Source organism: Homo sapiens, chromosome 1 (assembly GCF_000001405.40).
Source record: "Homo sapiens chromosome 1, GRCh38.p14 Primary Assembly".
NCBI lineage: Eukaryota > Metazoa > Chordata > Mammalia > Primates > Hominidae > Homo > Homo sapiens.
In genome coordinates, this window is record NC_000001.11 from 40378690 (window position 1) to 40401535 (window position 22846).

General features: G+C 42.3%; 1 protein-coding gene across 14 annotated transcripts in view, besides 1 other annotated feature; it reads left to right on the forward strand.

Moving 5' to 3' along the window:
* SMAP2 (small ArfGAP2) overlaps window positions 1-22846 on the forward strand; it is a 78493-nt gene that overhangs the window by 33856 nt on the left and 21791 nt on the right. For 2 of the 14 annotated variants that reach the window (XM_047428012.1, XM_047428016.1), the window contains exon 1: window positions 892-3935. The exons of 8 other annotated variants lie outside the window; for them this stretch is intronic. Coding sequence is in view for 1 of the 6 variants with exons in the window: in NM_001198979.2 (NP_001185908.1) it covers window positions 14728-14815 (88 nt within the window). In the remaining 5 variants the exon portion in view is untranslated. Of the gene's footprint in view, window positions 1-891; window positions 3936-5138; window positions 6413-14655; window positions 14816-18110; window positions 18202-22846 lie in introns of those variants that run through there. 4 more of the 14 variants (XM_047428013.1, XM_047428010.1, NM_001198979.2 and 1 more) reach the window with 4 other exon arrangements.
* Window positions 7056-7325: an enhancer, noted in NCBI's record as "active region_845". NCBI's record gives its function as "activates an Ori minimal core promoter by ATAC-STARR-seq in GM12878 lymphoblastoid cells {active_cell/tissue: GM12878}" and the evidence as "EXISTENCE:reporter gene assay evidence [ECO:0000049][PMID:35858748]".

Consider the following 22846-nt stretch of genomic DNA (forward strand, 5'->3'; position numbering starts at 1 on the left):
TAGAGTCCAACAGAAAGTGTAATAATTTTTTGCTTTTCCCTTCTTCTGCTACATCCTATCTCTGAAATGTTTCACCCCACCCAACCACTGCCTCTGTTCCAACTCCTATATTTTTAAATCTACATTTAAATGTACTTTTTGAAAAAGGTAGCACTTTCATGTAGTTCAAAATCCAAAAGGTCCAAAGGGGAATATGTACGGTATAAAATCATTCTGCTGTCCCTCATCTCTGAGCCACCATTTTCACTCCGTGGAAGTAACAATTGTTGGCAATTTCTTTTCTTTTCTTTTCTTTTTTTTTTTTTTTGAGACAGAGTTTCGCTCTTGTTGCCCAGGCTGGCGTGCGATGGCAAGATCTTGGTTCACTGCAACCTCTCCCTCCTGGGTTCAAGTGATTCTCCTGCCTCAGCCTCTCGAGTAGCTGGGCGCCCACCACCACGCCCAGCTAATATTTGTATTTTTAGTAGAGATGGGGTTTCACCATGTTGGTCAGGCTGGCCTCGAACTCCTGGCCTCGGGTGATCCACCAACCTCAGCCTCCCAAAGTGCTTGGATTACAGGTGTGAGCCACCACACCTAGCCCATTGTCGGCAATTTCTTACGTGACTTTTAAGAGATAATGTATGCATAGACAAACAATTACATTTAAATATATTCCTTTGCAGTGCTTTTATGCAAATGGTAGCATATTACCCACAGCTCTTGACATCTGTATTTTTCAATCAACAGAACATGGAGAGCATACACTTTCCATGCACATTGAGGAGTGCTTTGTTCTTTGAAGGTATTTTCTAAGGCTGTGACCAAGTTATCTTGACTAAGTAGAAAGCTATTCTTAAATGATTTGGAAGACACTGTTGTCTCTCTTTTTTTTTTTTTTTTTTTTTTTTGAGGCGGAGTCTTGCTATGTACAGTGGTGCAGTCTTGGCTCACTGCAAACTCCCCCTCCCGGGTTCAAGTTCTCCTGCCTCAGCCTCCTGAGTAGCAGGGATTACAGGCACCTGACTAATTTTTATATTTTTAGCAGAGAGAAGGTTTCACCATGTTGTCCAGGCTGGTCTGGAACTCCTGACCTCAAGTGATCTGCCCACCTTGGCCTCCCAAAATGCTGGGATTACAGGCATGAGCCACCATGCCCAGCAGACACTGCTCTCTTTGAAGGCATCTTAGAAAGTGTCCTAGGCCCATAGACACATATAAGCCTACTGTTAAGATGGCAGAGAGGCAGAGTAATGGAAGAGTCTGTAGACTTGGTATTGGAACAGCCAGTTAAATTCCTTTACTTTGCTTATTGCAGCTTGGTGACCTGATTCCACATACCACCTAACTTTCTCAGTTTAGTTTTCCTAGTTTGAAAAATGAAAGTGCCTTGTAAACTAATGTGTTACACAAATGTCTGCATTATTTACTTTTACCATTGCTAATCATAAATTTTTTAATCTTGATTTTATTAGTTTTACTTTTGACTTTATTCCCTTTTAAGATAGTCTGGTTACTGGGAGCCACAGTTAGAATGACTCACCCAGTAATTCCCTAGTCTTTAAGCCAAAACCATTTCCTATATATGGAGTTCTGGCATTTTTGCAAATGTGCTTTATGGTACCCTTGAGGATGGTCTCTGGATGTTTCCCGATTTCAAACTTGTATGAAAGATTAGACCAGGGAATTTCTTTGTGTAGAAATTTTCTCATAGTTGTCTTAAGTTTTAACTCATGTACATTAATCTTTAGCTTTGCTTTACATTTGTTTTCTGTTGATAGCCAAGTCATTGCTTGTTAAATATTCCTTAGAAATGAACTTTCCTATCAATTTAAAATTATTTTAGCTGTATCTGTGGCACTTTTTTTTTTTCTCTTTTGAGATGGAGTCTCGCTCTGTTGCCCAGGCTGGAGTGCAGTGGTGTGGTCTTGGCTCACTGCAACCTCCACTTCCCGGGTTCAAGCCATTCTCCTGCCTCAGCCTCCCGAGTGGCTGGGATTAGAGACGCCTGCCACCACACCTGGCTAATATTTTGTATTTTTAGTAGAGAGGGGTTTCATCATGTTGGCCAGGCTGGTCTCGAACTCCTGACCTCAGGTGATCGCCCACCTTAGCCTCCCAAAGTGCTGGGATTATAGGTGTGAGCCGCCGCACCCAGCCTGTGGTACCTTTTAAAAAGTAAAAAATTCAATGGCGTGAAACAACAGAAGGAGTTCTGCTTCCATTTCTAGTTGTTAAACGCCTTTCTCTAGCCAAGATCACATATATTTCTGGTTTTTTATAGCTAGTGCACTATAACTCTGACAGTCATGGTTAGATTGATAGTTTTACTGAAAGTAATTTATCAAAATCCCCATTAGATTGTCTTTTAATGTCAACATATTAAACCTGTTCCCTGAGAGATACTTTCCTATTTGTTCTCCTTGCCCTTTAAATATCATTTGGTGCCAGTGAGATGAAGAATAGAAAATGTATATCTTTTAGGGGAACTTCGCAAGCCTGAGATCCCCCACTACATATAGTCATTCAGAAAATGTTTCTTAAGCACTTACTACCTACTTTTTCTCAGACATTGTACCGGGACATATAGATTAAAAGAAAGAGTCTTTAGTCTCAAGGATTTTACAGTCTAATGGGGAAGCAGATGTGTACAAATATAAATGATGCAATACAGAAATTATTGTGGCATGGTATACAGGGAGAAATGAAAGCATTGAAGAAGGCAAAGAAGTCTTCCTCGGGAAGTCATGGCTTCAAAGAGAAAAGTAGGCTGTGTCTTAAAGGATAAGTATGACTTTGCCAAGCTAATTTAGGGAACTTTGTATTCTAGGAAGAGGGAACAGAATGTGCAAAGCCTCGAAGGTGCACTGTTTTGTGTGTGTGTGTGTGCGTGTGGGGATTCTTTAGTATATTTTGACTGCATGTTGAGGAGTGATGAGGAGTAGAGTTTGACAGGTAGTCAGGATACTGTAAGGTTAAAACCTGAGCTCTGTGGTTGACTTGCTTCGTGGCATTGAGATTTTGAATATGCACTGTGCTTTAGACTTCCTGTTGTGTAAGAAGCCCATAGTATTGTAGGTCCACCTGCTATTCACATGGGGTTATAAATATTGCAGGCATGAAACGCTTCCTGATCGCTGAATAGTAAGAAAGGTCTGAGCATGGTGCCGATTAAATTCTCCATTGAAATGTACCTTTGTGGGTACATTAAATTATTTTAGCATAAGTCTAGTGAAGTGCCAGCAGTAGATACTATGTTATTTCTGGAGCTCTTGATGTTGATTTTTGAGGCTGAACATGCTCTTAGCCTCAAGCAGGTCATATTTGGAATACCTGATGTGTGCTCCTGGTTGCTCAGTGCTTAGGATGCATAAACAGGTAGCTGCAGTCTCATCTCTCAGTATATATACTTTTCAGCAAATCTTTTTTTTCTAGATAAATTGGAAAACTACCTTTTTTCTGCATTTTTCATCTGATGTCATTATGGTATGTAGGTGGCAGCTTTCTTGGGCACAGTTGTCTATATAACTGTTCATCACATGAGTCATTGTCTGTTTCTGTTCTTCTGCCTGAAAATTCCATCTTGGAAATCGTGTCATGCAATCGGTGACTGCGACATTCTACTTGTTATGTACACTGCCACTGGCTTTGTATGTTATGTTGATGGACTCTACCTGTGCTACAGTGAAGGGATAAAGTGACTTATTAAATTGAGTCAGACTCAGTTCCTCCAAATGGTATTTCCTGTAAAAATGATGCCAAGCAAGATTCTGCATAAAACATGCATATGCTTTACACTGTAAGCATACAGTGCCTACCTTTTGTTATTGTGTCTGCTTAAATCCTTACCACAGTTGTACTCCTGTTTGATCAAGTGGCCAGTTTAACTAGATACTAGCTTTGAAGAAGTTCTGTATTGGCCCCTGGAATGTGACAGTTCATACCACATTGAAAAGGTAAGAACCAAGTCTTTGTAGAGTAGAACACCTTAAAGTTAATCCACTTTTACCAAATTCCTCTATTGTTAAAGCAACAGTCCTATATTGGCTAATTTTTAAAATCATAATGTGCCACACTTTACACATCCCTAGAATGTAAGCTAGGGGGCAGGGGCCTATGCCTGTTTTGTTCACTGTAGTGTTCCCAGCACCTAGAACAGTGCTTGGCACAGACCAGGCTCTCAGTAAATATTTGTTTGAATGCATGAATTGATTTTATCATCTGTAAATGTTTTGTTTCATATTAGAAGAGACCTTTTCTAGGTTATCTGAATAATTGTTTTAATTCTTAGGAAAGCTATTAATTTTCTGAAAAATAAGTTTTAAAATATGTTTGGAAGGCCCTATGTCAGTCAAGGACCAGTCAGAGGAACAGAAGCCACTGTTGGTCTTATAAGCAGAGGGAATTTAAAATAGGGAGTAGGTTACAAGGCTGCTAGAAGAGCCAAGAAGCTGAACAGGGGCTGGTGAGGCACCCATTCGATTAGCAATGCCTGGGAACTACTATGCCTGCAAGGAAAATAGTGCACTGGTGTCACCAAGGGCTGGAAGTCCGAGTGGTCTGGTGTGAGCGGAAGCATGGAAAGAGGAGCAGTCTGGTGGCAGCTGGAAGTAGGCCGAGTGAGAGAGCGTATTACCCTGGCTGCTCCCTGCTCCTGCCTCTTATCCTCCTCAGTGCCTCCCATTGATGGAACTTATCCTGAAATCAGTTGGCAAAGGGAGCCTGGGAGATGTAGTTCCCTGTGATCAAGCGGAGCAAGGGAGGGATCCCAGCGCAAACAGGCAAAGACACAAAGGCACTGAATTCTCCAAGATGTAATTTCTTTCCCCTTATAGTATTTGAATTATTTTGGACAAGAGAACGGAAGGGTTTTCCGGCAGATATAACATTGCGTGCTTCTAAAGGATCTTGACTGTTGCTGAAACAATTATTAGTCCCAGGAAGTAATGTAACAACTCAGTCATAGTTTATATACTTAGGGGGTATGACTAGGCAAATTGGCTCCTGTATTGAATATGTATTTGACTGTTGGCTGCTGCCAGGAGCAACTTATCGTTTGGTTACTCAGAAAATAAGTTCCCACCCTGTCAATTCTGGGAAGTCTTAGGTATGGTGTATCCACATTGAGTATATCTACAACTGGACAGCTTGAGTTAGTCACACAGAAGCCATACACAGAAAATGTTGAGGATTGCAGCGTTAAAACATGGTACAGCTCACTCTTTTTTTTTTCTTTCGTTTTTCTGGAGACAGAGTCTTGCTCTGTTGCCCAGGCTGGAGTGCTTTGATGCGATCTCAGCTCACTGCCTCCTCTGGCTCCCGGGTTCAAGTGATTCTCATGCCTCAGCCTTCCAAGTAGCTGGGATTATAGGTGTGTACCTCCATGCCCAGCTAATTATTTGTATTTTTAGTAGACACAGGGTCTCACCACATTGGCCAGGCTGGTCTCAAACTCCTGGCCTCAAGTGAGCTACCTACCCTCCTTGGCCTCCCAAAGTGCTGGGATTGCAGATGTGAGCCACCAAGGCCGGGCCTCAGCTCAGTGTTTTCTTTACAGTTAAGGTAACTGCAGTGTGGCTGTTTTATCTTGTGCTGCATGTTAGTTTAACTAGTCTTATTGATTTGTTTGTTTTACCCCACAACTTCAGATAAGTTTGCACTGGGTGAGGGAGGCAAGATCACTGGGTCTGTTTTCTTCTACCCTGACCTGAAAAAAATATTTTGTCTTGTAAGGAATGTTGCTGCTGCTCCATTTAAGGGCAGAGCTTTCCAAGTTGTGGCTACTTGTTTTCTACGTGATTATAAAAGTGTCTAATGAGTTATATGAGACAAGTTCAGCCCTTTCTAGAAGTGCTTTTTTTGTCAATCAGGTCACCTGCATTTGGGCCCTTGCTATATTAATGGAATTGGTGGAACTAGGCCAGCAGAGTTTTCAGTGCAGTGTGAGTATGTTTGCTTTTAGGCTGTTACTTCCCACAGAGGCCACAGATAAAGGACTCTCGTTGTTTGAGTGAAGTTACCAACTGTAACAATTGCATAGGTTTCCTTGTTTCTTTCTTTTCTCCAAAAAACTCATTTCCTCTTGGCAGGTGTTACTATAATTCACAGGTGTAATGAAAATGTAATTTGGGATTTGAAAAAGCATATCAGACTGCTTCCCAGAGTACCAGTTCTTTTCAGCTGGTCCATTTCAACTTAAGAGGTCCATCTATGCATTTTTGAAGCTTCATATTTAATAAATATAATATTTCACTGCTGTGTTTGACTATTCCGTTTCCCACACTTTCTCCTTCCCTACCCCACTCTTCTGGATCCTGTGTTTCCCCACAGGCTTTGTGAATGCCGGTCCACTGATGGCTGAACTGCAGGTCTCTCCCCAGTGGAAAGCCCCAGAGATGAGCCAGATCTGCCTCAGCTGTGGCCATCCGTCAGCGTAAGGTTGCTCTGGTGGTCGTCTTCAGTTTGTCCAGCTCTTCCCCTTATCCCCCATCCTCCCTCATGTGTGGCTGAAGCTTGCCCTGGAATCCCACCTTTGTAGCATGTCACTCGGTAGTAGTAGAATTTTATTATTGTTGCTTTTTTTCATTTTCAATTAATGTTAAGTGATTCTCTGACAAATTTTGTTGACCATAGCCCTCTTTTCCCCTCAGTTCATAGATTTCCTATAGGAATTCTGGTTTGCTTTTAAATACATATAGAATACAGTTTATTTAAGTTCTGGATTTCATAAGCTTACTTGGAAAATACTTTTTTAAAAAAAACATTTCAGGTCAAAGCTTCCAAAAAGAAATTTCTTAATCTGAAACAATGAGAACTGGGTTCCTCAGGCCTCATGTCATTTCCCCTCACCCACAAATCAAATGTGTAATGCTCTCATTTTATGATGTATTGAAACAGTGAAGCAAATGCGAGAGGGAGAGAGACCTACTCTCAGCTGTAGCTGATAAGTGTGTCCTAGCATGGTGATTTGAGCAAATAGAGCACCTTTTCTTTTCCTTTTCTTCAAATAGCCATGCTGTCTTTTGCAGCAGTTGCTGGTGACGGAATACCATAAATCCCCAGGCCTCTACCACAGAGCTTACATCTTTAGATGTGGGTTTACATGTTAATCCTACAATGTTATTTCACCTCAGTGGTCTGAAGTGCGCACACAGTACATTTTGTTCTTTAACTTCCTCTTTTCTTGTCTAACTGGAAGTCCCCAAATGTGTGGATTTAGAAATGAGTTCTCTAGTGTTTCTAGTTTTGAGTTAAGGAAGTTTTGTCTTGATATTGTTTAGGTGGTTGTTTTTGTTCTGTGCCTTCAAAAATAATTTCTTACAGAATTTTCTGTGTGAACTGGTGACATCATATGCTGTAGTGTAAAGCTTGTAGAGAAGGGGGCATTGGTGTCTTTTTGTTGTTGTTGACACTTTATCACTCCTTATAACTGACACAAACCCTGAGAAGAGAAACAGGAAGGAAACTCCCTGTTCTTACCATGATGCTTTTGTTCAAAATAGCTGAAAACAGCAGAGCTGACGGAAACCAATTTGAGTGTGACAGCTGATTTGAGAAAGAATGAATTAAGAGATTCAGGCTCTTCTGCTATGTTGAAATCATTTTTACTGAAAGATTAGCTGTTTGGAACAGGGATTGACTTTGTCTCTCTGAAAGTAGGCATGAAGAGTTCGGTTAGAGGAACCGTTACAGATGGAGGAGAAACTTGAGGAAAGGTCTTTCCTGTAGTGTGACTACAGTATTAACATTCCCAGATTATATGAAAGAGAAAGGAAGCTTCATTAAATGAAACATTGGAATCAGGAAGACTCCGGCTTGGCTCCCTGAGCATTCTAACTTGTTCTGAGCCTAGTCTCGACAGAAGTAGCCTGACACAAGTGGCTCAGATCAAGGGTCCATATTACGGGCAGAGTAAAAATAGGTCCCAGTTTCATTAGACTTCTCATACATTTAAGGAAAAAAAGATTTGTTGCCATAGGAACAGACCAGTTGTTTTCTGTCTTGTGGGATTTTAGGAGCTGGGGAGATAGGAGGATCCCTGTGCTTATAATCTAAACATCAGTAAATGCTGGTTTTTTTTAAAACAACAACAACTTTATCTTTTATGATTCTGAAACCTATCCACGATAAAAATCATTGGAAAGTATGAAAAATATAATGATGCTGAAGGTATTTTTCATAATTCTTTTTTTTTTTTTTTTTTGGAGACAAGGTCTCTCGCTCCGTCGCCCAAGCTGGAGTACAGTGGCACGATCTCAGCTCACTGCAGCCTCTATCAGGCTTAAGCAGTTCTTCTGTCTCAGCCTTCATAGTAGCTGGGACTACAGGTGCACACCACCACGTCCAGCTAATTTTTGTATTTTTAGTACAGACAGGGTTTTGCCATGTTGCCCAGGCTAGTCTCGAACTCCTGAGCTCACATCATCTGCCTGCCTCGGCCTGCCGGAGTGCCAGGATTACAGGCATCAACCACCATGCCCGGCCTTATTTTTCATAATTCTTATCACCCATTTACTTGAGCTTATACCATAATGATTTTATATCATTCTTTTTTGCTTAACATTTATTATAAGCTTATTTCATGACATTAAAAACGTGTAAATACCTTTATTGTATCCCAGCATTGGAATATGTCATTATTATCTCTTGCCCAATTGTTAATATTTGAATTTTCAATTTTTTAACAATACAAATAAGGAAGTATAAATTTTTGTGTTGTTGTTAGAGTGATGGGTTATTTATGTGTTCAGATTTGAGTAGTCAAGTGGGCCCTCTAATTTAAAAAGTTACCAAGGGGATTCTCTGGGTTGAGCCCACGTAGAGATGGCTTTGCTATGGGCATTATCATTCTGAACTGCTTCATTGCAGTAGATGTCTGCTGAGGCAAGGAATGGGGAATTCGGGAGAACCCTGGTTTCCCCATAAGGGACCTAAGGAACATAAGGGACATAAGGAACAGCTTTATGGGTCATACCACAGCAAGATGGGCCGGCACTTTCACATTGAGAGGTGACAGCGTGCTGGCAGCCCTCACAGCCCTCGCTCGCTCTCGGTGCCTCCTCGGCCTTGGCACCCACTCTGGCCGCACTTGAGGAGCCCTTCAGCCCACTGCTGCACTGTGGGAGCCCCTTCCTGGGCTGGCCGAGGCCGGAGCTGGCTCCCTCGGCTTGCGGGGAGGTGTGGAGGGAGCCAGCTCCGGGAACCGGGGCTGTGTGCCGCACTTGTGGGCCAGCTGGAGTTCCGGGTGGGCATGGGCTTGGCGGGCCCCGCACTTGGAGCAGCCGGCCAGCCCTGCTGGCCCTGGGCAATGAGGGGCTTAGCACCTGGGCCAGCGGCTGCAGAGGGTGTGCTGGGTCCCCCAGCAGTGCCGGCCCACCGGCGCTGCGCTGGATTTCTCACCGGGCCTTAGCTGCCTTCCCACGGGGCAGGGCTCGGGACCTGCAGCCCGCCATGCCTGAGCCTCCCCCCACCTCTGTGGGCTCCTGTGCAGCCTGAGCCTCCCCAACGAGACCGCCCCCTGCTCCACGGCACCCGGTCCCATCAACCACCCAAGGGCTGAGGTGTGTGGGCGCACAGCGCGGGACTGGCGGGCAGCTCCACCTGCAGCCCCAGTGCGAGATCCACTGGATGAAGCCAGCTGGGCTCCTGAGTCTGGTGGGGCCTTGGAGAACCTTTATGTCTAGCTCAGGGATTGTAAATACACCAGTCGGCACTCTGTATCTAGCTCAAGGTTTGTAAACACACCAATCAGCACCCTGTGTCTAGCTCAGGGTTTGTGAATGCACCAATCGACACTCTGTATCTAGCTACTCTGGTGGGGACTTGGAGAACCTTTGTGTGGACACTCTGTATCTAGCTACTCTTGGTGGGGATTTGGAGAACCTTTGTGTCCACACTCTGTATCTAGCTAATCTGGTGGGGATGTGGAGAACCTTTGTGTCTAGCTCAGGGATTGTAAACGCACCAATCAGCACCCTGTCAAAACAGACCGCTCCGCTCTACCAATCAGCAGGATGTGATTGGATGGGGCCAGATAAGAGAATAAAAGCAGGCTGCCCGAGCCAGCAGTGGCAGCCTGTTCGGGTCCTCTTCCACAGTGTGGAAACTTTGTTCTTTTGCTCTTTGCAATAAATCTTACTGCTACTCACTCTTTGGGTCCACACTGCCTTTATGAGCTGCAACACTCACCGCGAAGGTCTGCAGCTTCACTCCTGAAGCCAGCGAGACCACGAACCCACCGGGAGGAACGAACAATTCCAGACGCGCTGCCTTAAGAGCTTTAACACTCACCGCGAGGGTCCACAGCTTCACTCCTGAGCCAGCGAGACCACGAACCCCACCAGAAGGAAGAAACTCCGAACACATCCGAACATCAGAAGGAACAAACTCCGGACACGCCGCCTTTAAGAACTGTAACACTCACTGCGAGGGTCCACGGCTTCATTCTTGAAGTCAGTGAAACCAAGAACCCACCAATTCCGGACACAACATTATATACCTGATGTGCGGAAATACCCTTGCGCCATTGACTAGCATCTTATGTTGTTCATACAGTCCTCATTCACTTAAACTTAGTCCTCTAAGGAGGTGGATTAGAGGTCCTACATTAGTAGAAAGGAGGTAACAGCTACTGCATTATTATTTTTTTTTTGAAGAAGGGCCCTCAGACTGGAGATGAGGACAGGGACTGTGTTTTCATGTCTATCTGCATACTTAATGCACGGTGTCTGGCACATAGTGTCTATGTCCCTATTATGAGCAGCATTATTCTGTTAATGTGTGTTCAGGTCATATGCTTTGTTTTGTTTTTTGATAGTCTTCCTCATACTGTTAGCCCAGATAGCTGAAGATCTGTGACACCAGGAAGCTGAGCAGGTGAATCTCATGGTTGCTTTGTGGTAATTGCTTCTTTGTGCCATTTCATTTCTGTGCTTCTGCCACCTGTGCTGCTTTGGAAGCTGGAGCTAGACATGAAGCGAATCCTCTGCCCTCTCAGTAGGAGGTTTTGGTGTGACACATCATCCTGGGGAAAAATGTAGCATGAAGTGTGAAACAGGAGGCTGAAATAGCAGTCCTTTAGCCCTTTTGTGGGATGGGAGTAAATATTTAGACGTGGTTCTCAGGTGCTGTAGAATTTAATAACCTTGCAGCAGTTTTAGAAACTCCTTGTGCCCACTGGAACAGGTTCGTTTAAAGAATCTTACTTGGGCTCTTTTGAAATTGTGATGCCCCCACCTCCACCCACTCCCCTCCCCCGCCCACCCCCAGACCTGCCCTGAGTTCATCTGCCTAATGTTCCCTTTGCAGGATCTTTGTACTCACATGGCTGGTATCTTTGCCCCACCCCCTTATGCCATATATTTTGACCTCATTGTGTTCTATTCTGAAACGCCTGGGTTTTGAAACATCGTGGTGAATGTTTTCTTTTTCAAAGGGCAAATCTCCATCTTTTGCTCTCCTCCCTTAAGCCAGGGCTGTTTTGATGACTGATATTCTGCACACCACTGGACTAACCAACCATCTGTACTTTGATCCCAGAATTCATTTTGATTCTGCTGTTTGTTTAGAACTGAAAGCTTTCTAGCTTGTTTGGATGTGGTTGTGATTCAGTGAAACTGGCACTGATTTTCCATCTGTTTGCCATTGGTTGGGACTTCTCCAATGTGTTAGGAAAGCTGCTGTGCTGAGTTGCGAAGAGAAATTCACATGTCCATGGTCTTGCACAAGGGCTCATTTGCTCACTTAGAAGGTTTTATGTAGAGCCTCTGCCTGGGTGAAAGACATGAGCTTCCCTGGAAACAATTGAAAAACATCTTCTGCCTGGCCACTCAGTCTTGAGCTCTAGTAGGTTACACTGTTTTTCCCTTCTGGGCTTCTTTTTGAGGAAGGGGAGTGTGGATGGGAAGAAATCTTCACAATCAGTCTCAGATTCCCAGCAGCAGAGAGTGAATTGTATGTTGTAATAATAAAAAAAAGAATACCTAAAGAACAAGATATCAATTTAGTGACCATTATTGAGCATTTACTATGTATAACACACATTTGGGTGTGTAAAGGTGATTCTAATTTCAGTCCAGCTGATCCTTTCTTCTGTGAACTTGGGCAAATGACTTGACCTCTCTAGGCCTTAGTTTCTCCAACTGTGCTTAGACTAGATCATTCCTAAGGTTTGTTACAATTTTAGAATTTTGTACTCTAAACGTGTATCTGTTTGTTACAGAACAAGAGAGGCTTTTCCACAAAATTGACATATTCTTATGTCTCACTTCAAACTAAATGGCTTAAAAATGGTTCCTCTAGAGCAGGATTTCTCAACCTCAGACTATTGACATTTTGGGTGATTCCTTGTTGTGGGCACTGTCCAGGGCATTTTAGAATGTTTAGGAGCCAGCATTCCTGTCCTCTGCCCACTAGATGCCAGTAGCTCTTCCCTACCCCTCTGCCCGTTGTGACAACCAAAAATGTCTCTAGACATCAGCATTGCCCCTTGAGGGGAAATCGTTTCTGTTGGGAGCCATTGGTCTAGAGGAACAAAGATGGGACTATTTGAATATGGGCTGTTTTTAATATCAGTTTTCATGTTATTCCACTATTGCTTATTACCTGTTTAATCAGTAAGCATGCATTAAGTGTATACTATACACAGATGAATGCCGACGCTTGATTATGAGGGACTTTAATGACCATGTCAAGTTTTCAAATGTTGAGTCCACCTGGCCAACTTTGAAATGATTGCCCAGCTGTTAGCGCAGCAGTCCCTACACGCCTACACCCACCAGCCTGCTATTAGCCTTGGTCAGGGTAATGATTGAAATGTATGAAAGCATTCACTCACAAAGGCTATCAGATAGCAACCTAGGAAGGCCCTGGGATTGTGAGTTATGGATCGGGACTGGGTCTTGTGCATCCAGAATCTAGTATTATGATAGTTATCCCTTCAGCTTCCTAGGGGAAAAAAATTCCTCGTCAAAGTGGTGGGGTGAGGAATCTATCCTAGGGATGGAGGATGAAGAGCAATCTCATTGGACAATGACCATATCACCCTTTTTAGTAGCTTCTTCTAAACATAGGCCCTTTCCCTCCCGCAGTGGGCAGGCTCACTTTGCAGCTTTAGTTTTTTGTTTTGTTTTGTTTTGTTTTTGTTTTTAAATATATGAGTAGATACTGGTTGTTGCAAAGAGGAAGTTAAACTGAAGTAACCTAAAAATGTAAAGAACTGAATGTCCCCAGGAGATGAAGACAGTAACTTGAGAACCAAGTTTGCTTATATTACCTGAAGTGAGGTCACTAGGAAATTGGTTTAATTATAGTATCAAGTTTTGAAATATCAGGTCCACCTGGCTGACTTTGAAATGATTTGCCCAGCTATTAGCTCAGCAGTCCCTCCCTGCACACCAACTCCACCCAGCCTATTGTTAGCCATTGAAGTGGTGATTGAAATGCATTAGATTGCCCAAGAAATCTAATCTTTGGACTTGCTACATTTGCTATAAAATATCAGTTTAGGTTTAATAACTTTGAATTTGCTCCCAGTACCCCCAGATTTTCTCATCTGTTTTAAATTCACATTCTGCACTTGGTCGGGTGCAGAATGGTGCTTCTCGCTGATTGGGGTAGAGTGTGTTCTGTGAGCATCTTTGCTGGGATGCTCTGGGATTCCAAAGCCATGATTCAGACACTTAAGCCTGTGTCAGTCCCTATCCTTAGGTCCTGGCAGGCTCCGTGTTCCATTCCAGCTGAGCCTTTGCTGGAGTAATTACCCACATGGAGTCTTCAAGCCAAACAATTGTTTGTACTGAGATAGTCTCACTGTTTGGCTCCTAATGAAATAATCTCTTTCCTGCCCTCAATGAAAGCAGCTATTTTTTGTGTCCTCCCTCCCCTATTCAGAGAAGCCATGTCTCATCCACCACTCTTCCAGCTTATTCATAAATGCTTTAAGCAGGGTCTTTGTGTAAAGGAAATTGGCTGGAGCTGAAATATCATAGGCTAACCAGGAGACAAGGAGCATTAAGGACACCCTTTTCCTTGACTTTCTATTTAGGGTATTTAAATTACCTTTCTGTGATTTTCTGTAATAAGCAATCTAAAACTTAAATCCACATAAGCAAAATAGTCATACTAGGTTTTTAAAAAGTATACTAAATTAGGCCGGGCTCAGTGGCTCATGCCTGTAATCGCAGCACGTTGGGAGGCCGAGGCAGGTGCATCACTAGGTCAGGAGATCGAGACCATCCTGACTAACATGGTGAAACCCCGCTGTCTCTACTAAAGACACAAAAAATTAGCCAGGCGTGGTGGCATGCACCTGTAGTCCCAGGTATTCGGGAAGCTGAGGCAGGGGAATAGCTTGAACCCGGGAGGCGGAGGTTGCAGTGAGCCAAGATCACACCACTGCACTCCAGCCTGGGTGACAGAGCGTGAATCCATCTCAAAAAAAAAAAAAGTATACTAAATTAGTATAATTTTATTGTTGTTGTTACCTAAAGGAGCTCTCAAAAATAAAAGCTGGCCAGGCGTGGTAGCACATGCCTGTAGTCCCAGCTACTCAAGAAGCTGAGGTGGGAGGATTGCTTGAGCATAGGAGATTGAGGCTGCACTGCACTCTAGCTTGGGCAACAAAGCAACAAACCCTATCTTAGAAGAACAAACAAAAAACCCAACAACAGAACAACCACAAATGAGTGAGTGCAGCAGGAGAGGCAGCAGAGCGCCGTGGGAGTTGGAATAGGAAGGAGAAAAGGCTTCATGGGGAAAGTGGGCAGAGCAAGATTTGCACAAAAAGATGTTTTGCAAATAGAGGAAATAGGCCCTGTAAAGCTATTTGTGAGAGACTGTAAGTTGATCAACAAAGTGTAAGTAGTTCTTCTAACTTTTTTTTTTTTTTTTTTTTTTGTGACAGAGTCTTGCTCTGTCGCCCAGGCTGGAGTACAGTGGCTCAATCTTGGCTCACTGCAACCTCCACCTCCCAGGTTCAAGCGATTCCCCTGCCTCAGCCTCCTGAATAGTTAGTATTACAGGCGTGAGCCACAATGCCTGGCTAATTTTTGTATTTTTAGTAGAGATGGGGTTTCAGCATGTTGGCCAGGCTGGTCTTGAACCCCTGACCTCAGGTGATCCACCGGCCTTAGCATCCCAAAGTGCTGGGATTAAGGCGTGAGGCACCGCGCCCGGCCACTTCTAACCTTTTTAAGGAGTATTTGCGTGAACAGAATCAATGAGTTTCTTCAAATTAACTTCTGACAATAATCTAAATGGTCTCCATTTTCTGATTCACCCTTTTTTCCAATTCCAAGTTGCCATTATCCATGTAATTGGCTCTAAAGAGAGCAAGGAAATCTATCTTCTCCAGGAGTTTCAGTCATAGATTTTTAGCTGGCTCTCTTTATCATTTGCAACTGAGTTCATTCATATGCTTGTTTTCAAGAATTTTTTCCTTTAGTTCCAGAACTCTTTGCTTCCATCCTATGGTTTCTTGGGAGGACAGTTCTAAGCTTTCTTAAGATAAGTGTTTCAATCACACCATCTACCATTTCCCTCAGAAGTTGTTCTCCTCTTATGCGGTGTGTTTAGGTGTTTGGGGCGCCAATCACTAGGGATTGGAAGGATTTTGATGAATCTTCAAGTAACCATGTCTTGAAGGTTAGCCATCATCAGTTCACTCCATGAAATGAAAACTTACGGGGATCCACTTTTGCTCTTTTTTGAAGAAGTCTATTGTCCTCAAAGGAAGAGGTGGACCTGTTCAGATTTTTAAGTTTTATCTTATTCAGTGTTTGTAGCATCAAGGGACTGGCCTCTAACGGAAGCAACTGGGGGCTTCATTGGCTTATGCAATCAGTCTCATCTCACTGACTTTACAAGGTTCTTCAATACTGGCAGAAAATCTCTTGGCTAGCTCTTTCTCCCTCCTTAAAATATGTTGGCTCTTTACTATAAAAACAATCATAGCAGCACATACCAGAATCTCCTAGGGAAACCCCCAAAGACTTGGGCCTTGTCTCAGCTCTCAGACACTACCACCAAGAGCACTGCATAGCTTTCCCAGGACCAACTGGAAAGAATTCTTTTTTACGACGATGTAATTGACAATGAAAATTGTATATGTTTACAGTATACAATGTGGTGTTTTGATATATGTGTACATTGATTTTTGTGGCAGTCAGGAGGTCCTCTAGTTGGAACAGAGACTCACCACACCCAAGAGTCCCTCTGTCTGTATCCCATCCCCAAATCAGAAAAAGGCCTGTGCGTCTCTGTGGGTAGTATTCACTCTCTCAGATTCCTCTGTGAGTCAGGAACATGACAAGTGGCATCTATATACACAGTTTTAAGAGGAAGTGATGTCACTCTTGGTGTATAGAAGTGAGAAGAGGAGTAATGAGAATTAAAGACCCAGATCACAGGAGAATTTAAGCCATACTTAGAAGTTTGGAGTTCAGTTGATGGTGGGGGGTCCAGTGACATAGCTTTGAATGGGGTGATGACATTATCAGGACATATGTTGGCAGAATGTCCTTTTCAAAGCCAACAAAGTCCAAACTAGGATCTCATTCTTTCCCTCCTGAAGTCACCTGGGGAATTGAATTGATAATAATGATACAGGATGACTGATTGATAGTTCTTTATTCCCAGAAACATCACCTAAGTATACACTAGTTACCTTCCACTGCTGGGAGAGACAACAAGGAAGAGTCACAGTAAGTCCCTACCTGTTAATAATAAACCAATGGCCAGGCCCAGTGGCTCATGCCTGTAATCCCAGTACTTTGGGAGGCCAAGGTGGGAAGATCACTTGAGCCCAAGAGTTCAAAACCAGCCTGGGCAACATAGCAAGACCTCACCTCTACAAAATAATAATAATAATAATAATAAAACAGGGCAGTAAGATTAATGTGGAGCCAAATTTACCTTTCCAGAGTAGTTTAATGAATTTTTGAGATACAGTTACTATCTTTTAGAAGAGATATGTTTGAGATAATCTGGTTAAGGTATATTGACTTGTCTAAAGTCACACAGGAAATTAGTGCTGTAATTTAGATAATTCGTATCTTTAGCTGTGTAGATAAGAAGGGCCAGTTAAATAACATGAGAAAGATGAAGAATGCCTCCTTCCTTTCTCCTAGTAGACCTCAGTCTGCTTTCCTGTTGATTTCTTTGTGTTACAGGCTTTAATGTTTTTTGAGAAAAGCCATTTTAAGTTAACTGCTGAATTAGTTTTAGACATAGATTGACTAATCATTTCATTAGTGAGTACTTAGCAGTGTTCTACCTCCCTTAACCTCCTTTTTCCGGTTACCTGGTAGGAAGATAATGTTGCTTTGCTTCATCTCCATTGGTAATCACAGCAGTCTGTCTAATTGCTATGTCTGTTCTATCATTGAGCTCCTGGATTAAATTGGTTCAGCGGGCTTGTATTTTGGTTGAGTATATAAGTGGCTGCTTTCTTCTGCTAGAATCTCCAAACCTCCATCTTTATCTTTCATACTTTGATATATTATATAAGTATGGGGGGAGTAAAAAGCAGCACCAGGATATCAAAATGGTAGGAAGAGAGATTAATGGGACTCCGTATAAGGAAGGCCTCTCTAATAGTGGGTGCCGTCTAATAGACAAACCAACTACCTTTTGAAATGGTACGTAACTGACTCAGCATTGGACAAGCCAGGTGATCACCCCTAGAAGGAGGGTGCATTCAGTGAGAGGCTGGACCTAAGAGGATTTCTAAAGTCCTTTCCACCTCTGATTTTCTAATTTTAAATTTCTTGGTGTAGGATTTACCTTTATTCTCTAACCAGTCTCAGACATGTTTTAATTTTCTTTGTCTCAGACATTTTTAAGCTTAACTTATGCTCTTTTTTCAACAGTACAAATGTGGACAGTGTTTCTTTTTGACAAACGGAAACAACATTCTTGCAAGATGGCCCAGATGGAAAGGGACTTGTCTTGCAAGTGTTCTGAAAGCAGAGGTTGATTGCATAAGCCTTTATTTTGGTCTCATGGTTCCTTAAAATGTTTGTACTTACAGAAGTTCAAAGTTACTGTTTATTGTTATTTTGGAATAAGGAACTTGATGAACTCTCTTTTGTGTGGATGAAAACATAGAGGTAAACATACCTCTCAGCAGCCCTACACAATTTTTCCAAGATCCCACTGGTGTTTCTGTGTATTCTTCCTTTTCAGTGAATCAGAGAATGGAGGGATATAATGAGTGGAACTGAGGTAACTGGCACTAGATTTGTTCTTAAAACAAATACTGCTGCTTTTTTTACTTTGACTTCCAAATTTTGGGTCAGAGTTAATGACAAGTTATGTCACGTAGAATTAATCTCTTATAAAATCTGAGTTTGTTGATTTAGGTTTTTCCTTATATGTATGTTGCATTTAACCAGTTTTCAGTGCCTGGTATAGGCTCCATGAACCAAATTTGATTCCGTGTTTTAGGTTCCTCAAGACCTAACATCTTCATAGATTGTTTGTTTCATTTTACGTTTTCAGAACCATTGAACGGTAAGCAGGAAGGGACCTAAAAATTACTGCAAATCATCTACTGTAGTAGTAGGACTGTAGTAGTAGAAAGAACTGTAGGGCTCATTGTTCACCCAATTCACCACATGGGGATCATTTCTCTACCATCCCTGAGAACTGATTACCAAACCTCTGTTTGAACACTGCACTAACTGAGATTTTACAATTTCTGGATATGCTGCATTGGTTTTTACACAACCTTAATTGTTAGAAAATTTTTCTCTAGAGTGTGCTAAAATCAACTTCTACTCCTTGGTGCCAGTTCTGCTTTTGAAGCCTTTCCAAAGTAACCTAATCCGTTTTCTGTGTTACAGCTATCCTTTAAGGCATTTGAAAACTTCTCCCTTCATTTTGCAAAACAGGAAAAATATATACATTTATGTTGCTTATTGACGAATTCATTTAACACACATTTATTGTGTACCATCTTCTGTTTGCTAGCATTGTGTCAAGTGTTTGTGATAAATGATGAAGGAACATGGTCATTGCCTTCCAGAGCTCATAGTCTATTTAGGACAAGAGAGACCTGTAAGCAACTCGAACAAGATATTAAGTATTAGAAGAACAAAGCATACCCTGGGCTATTAGCAATAGAGAAAGTTAGGGTTTATTCCATTGGAGGGCATCACAGATGAACTGGATTTTTAAGTTTGTCAAGCAGGGAATGAGGGAGAAAGCCATTCCAGGTAGAAAGAATGGTGTAGTCAAAGAGATTTGAGTGTGCTGCATATTTCACAATTATGACTTCCTCAGCATGTGTAAAGTACAAGGCTCTCAACAGACTTTATATATTATGTTAAGGAGTTTCAACTTACCCTGCAGCCAGTAAGGAGCCCTGGATGCTTACGTTGTTTTGTTTTTACGATATCTGTACTGGTTTTTCCCATTGCAAAATTAATAGAAAGCTCATTGCAAACAATTCAGAGAGGATATATAGAGAAGAAAATAGATGTTTCATTATCCCATTATCCCGATATAGTAATAATTTACATATAGTCTTCTAGATTTTTTTTCTGTGCATACGCGTACATTTATTTATTTATTTATTTTTTGACAAGGTCTCACTCTGTTCCCTAGGATGAAGTGCCATGGTGCAATCATAGCTCATTGCAGCCTTTGAATCCTTGGGCTCAAGCAGTACTCCCGCTCAGCCTCCCAAGTAGCTAGGACTACAGAGGCATATCACCACACCGAGCTCATTTATTCATATTTTAAAAAAAATGGAATTGTTTCATGTGTACTCTTTTAATACTGGATTTTTAAAATTACTATATCATGGAGATACTTTTATATGAAATAGAGGCTCCAAAATTTTTCCCCGTTAAATGGTGATACCATAATTCCTTAATGTAACCTATTAATGTTTCTAATTTTCATAAAGATGTAATAATGAACATTCTTAACGTATTTCTTTGTGTACTTGACCTGTTTTTTCCCTGATGAATTCTTACAAGTGGGGTCAAAGGATTTACTTAGTTCTTTTGTTTTTTTGAGATAGGGTGTCAATATGTTGCCCAGGCTGGCCTCAAACTCCTGGGCTCAAGTGATCCTCCAACCTCAGCCTCCTGAATAGCTGGGACTACAGACATGTGCCACTGCACCTAGAATACTTAGTTTTAATTAATCTTTAAGCAAATGTTGCTTCCCTGCTATGTTCAAGGAACCATGCTATGCCGTGAGTATATGATAGTGAATGTTACAGGTCTGGTGACAGCTCTTGTGGCACACATAGTTAAGCGGGAAAGACATCTTAAACAATCAAATAATTAGATAGTAACAAAATATGGTATGATTTAGAAAAAGTAAAGGGTGGCCAGGCACAGTGGCTCACTCCTGTAATCTCAGTGCTTTGGGAGGCCAAAGTAGGAAAATCACTTGAGGCCAGGAGTTCAAGACCAGCCTGAGCAACATAGTGAGACCCTGTCTCTTTTTTATTTCATTGATTTATTTTTATTTTTATTTTTTTCAGACAGAGCCTTGCTCTGTTGCCCAGGCTGGAGTGCAGTGGTGGGATCTCGGCCCACTGCAACCTCCGCCTCCTGGGCTCACGTGATTCTCCTGCCTTAGCCTCCCAAGTAGCTGGGACTACAGGCATGTGCCACTACGTGTGGCTATTTTTTTTTTTTTTTTTTTTTGTATTTTTAGTAGAGATGGGGTTTCACCATGTTGGCCAGGCTTGTCTCAAACTCCTGACCTCAGGTCATCTGTCCACCTCTGCCTCCCAAAGTGTTGGGATTACAGGCGTGAGCCACCGTGCCTGGCCCATTTCTTTTTTTTTTCTTTTCTTTCTTTCTCTTTTTTTTTTTTCCTGACTCTTAACACCACTCAATGACCCATCTTTACAAAAATAAAAAATTCAGCTGAGCGTGGTGGCTCATGCATCTAGTCCCAGCTACTTGGGAGACTGAGGTGGGAGGATTGCCTGAGCCTGACAGCCCAAGGCTGCTGTGAGCTATGATCGCACCACTGCACTCCAGCCTGGGTGAGAGAGTAAGACCCTGTCTCAAAAAAAAAAAAAGAAAAGAAAAGAAAGAGTGAAAAAAAGAGTAAAGGGTAAATGAAAGTTCATAACCTTTAAAAAAAAAGTCCTTATCTTTTAGAGATATATGCTGAAGTATATACAGATGAAATGGTATGATATTTAGGATTTGCTTCAGAATAATCCAGGTTGGAGTTGAGGGGCAGTGGGTGGGAGTATAGCTGAAACAAAATTGGCTAGGAGTTGATAATTGCTGAAGCTCATGGTTAATTATGCTCTGCTTTCGTTTGTTTGAAATTTTCTGTAAGGTAAAAACCAAAAGAAAGGGTAGAAGAGATGTTACAGTCGGGTTTAGACTGGGGAGCCAAGGAAAGACTCCTTTGAGGAAGAAACATTTCAGCTGAGACCCTTGTGATGTATAGGAGTTGGCCAGGCTGCAAGTGGCATTTGGCAGTTAGGGAAAGAGTTTTTTTAGGCAGCAGGAGCAGCATGTACAAAGTCCAGCAAGCCCTGAGGAAGGAACATGTTGGTCCCTTGAGGAAATGAAAGAAGGCTGCTACCATAGGAATTGAGAGGCTGCGGAAGGAGGCATGGGCTAGACCTTTAAGACCTTGGAAACTATGTTAAGGATTTTGTTATTTAATCCAATAGTAATAGAAGAATTTTAAGCAGCACAATGTGGCTTTGCTTCTTTAAGAGCTCAAGTTGGCTGTTTGGTGGAGAATGGTTTTGGTTTGGGCTCAAGGGAGAAGAGAATGTAAAAGTGGAGAGAGAGCTATTAGGAGGTTATTGCAGTGGTCCGAAAGAGTCTGGTGGCTTTAGATTACAGAAATAGTGATACAGATGGAGAGAAGAGATACTGATTTGACAGATATTTTTGTCTTGGTGATGTGGGGGCTGAAGGAGAGAGGTTTCATGATGCATAATTTTCTGACTGACGCAATGGAATGGATGGAGGTGTAGTTGACTAAGATGAAGAAAAAAGGAAGAGATTTTGTAGCAAGAGATTGAGAGCTTAGTTTGGAATATGCTATTCAGAAAATGTGCACCAATTTACATATTTACCTTTGTGTATGAGACTACATGGAAGGTTTATATTTAGAGGTGTGATCTGTACAGATTTGTGTTTTAGAAAGATTATTCTGGTGGTGGGATTCTGGAGACTAATTGCTTGTTAGTCTGTGAGCTTTTTGAATTGAGGAATCTCATCCTTATTTTCTCTGCCTTTGTATCCCCAGTACTTAGCAGGCAAATTGCTTGGCACATAGGTACACAATAAATAATGTTAAGAGAACCAATGCTGGTTGGGCGCGGTGGCTCACACCTGTAATCCCAGCACTCTGGGAGGCCGAGAAGGGCGGATCACTAGGTCAGGAGATCGAGACCATCCTGGCTACCAAGGTGAAACCCCGTCTCTACTAAAAATACAAAAACAAAATTAGCCGGGCGTGATCGCGGGCGCCTGTAGTCTCAGCTACTCGGGAGGCTGAGGCAGGAGAATGGCGTGAACTCGGGAGGCGGAACTTGCAGTGAGCCGAGATCGCGCCACTGCACTCCAGCCTGGGTGACAGAGCGAGATTCCGTCTCAAAACAAACAAACACACACAAAAAAGAACGAATGCTTATAGGTGAGACATGAGGTCTAGGTAGAAATGGATAGATTCTGGAAAAGTTTCCAAGATAGATTCCACAGGATTTGGATGGAAGATGGGAAAGTTCTCTCCCTTCGCGTAGCCTGCCCGTTGAACTTTTTGACAGGTCCGTTATGCCAGCAGGTCTAAATATAGGTAGCCATCAATTTATCAATGTTTTTTCCTCCTCAATATTTATTTGTTTGGAACTCCATAGATTAGAACTCAA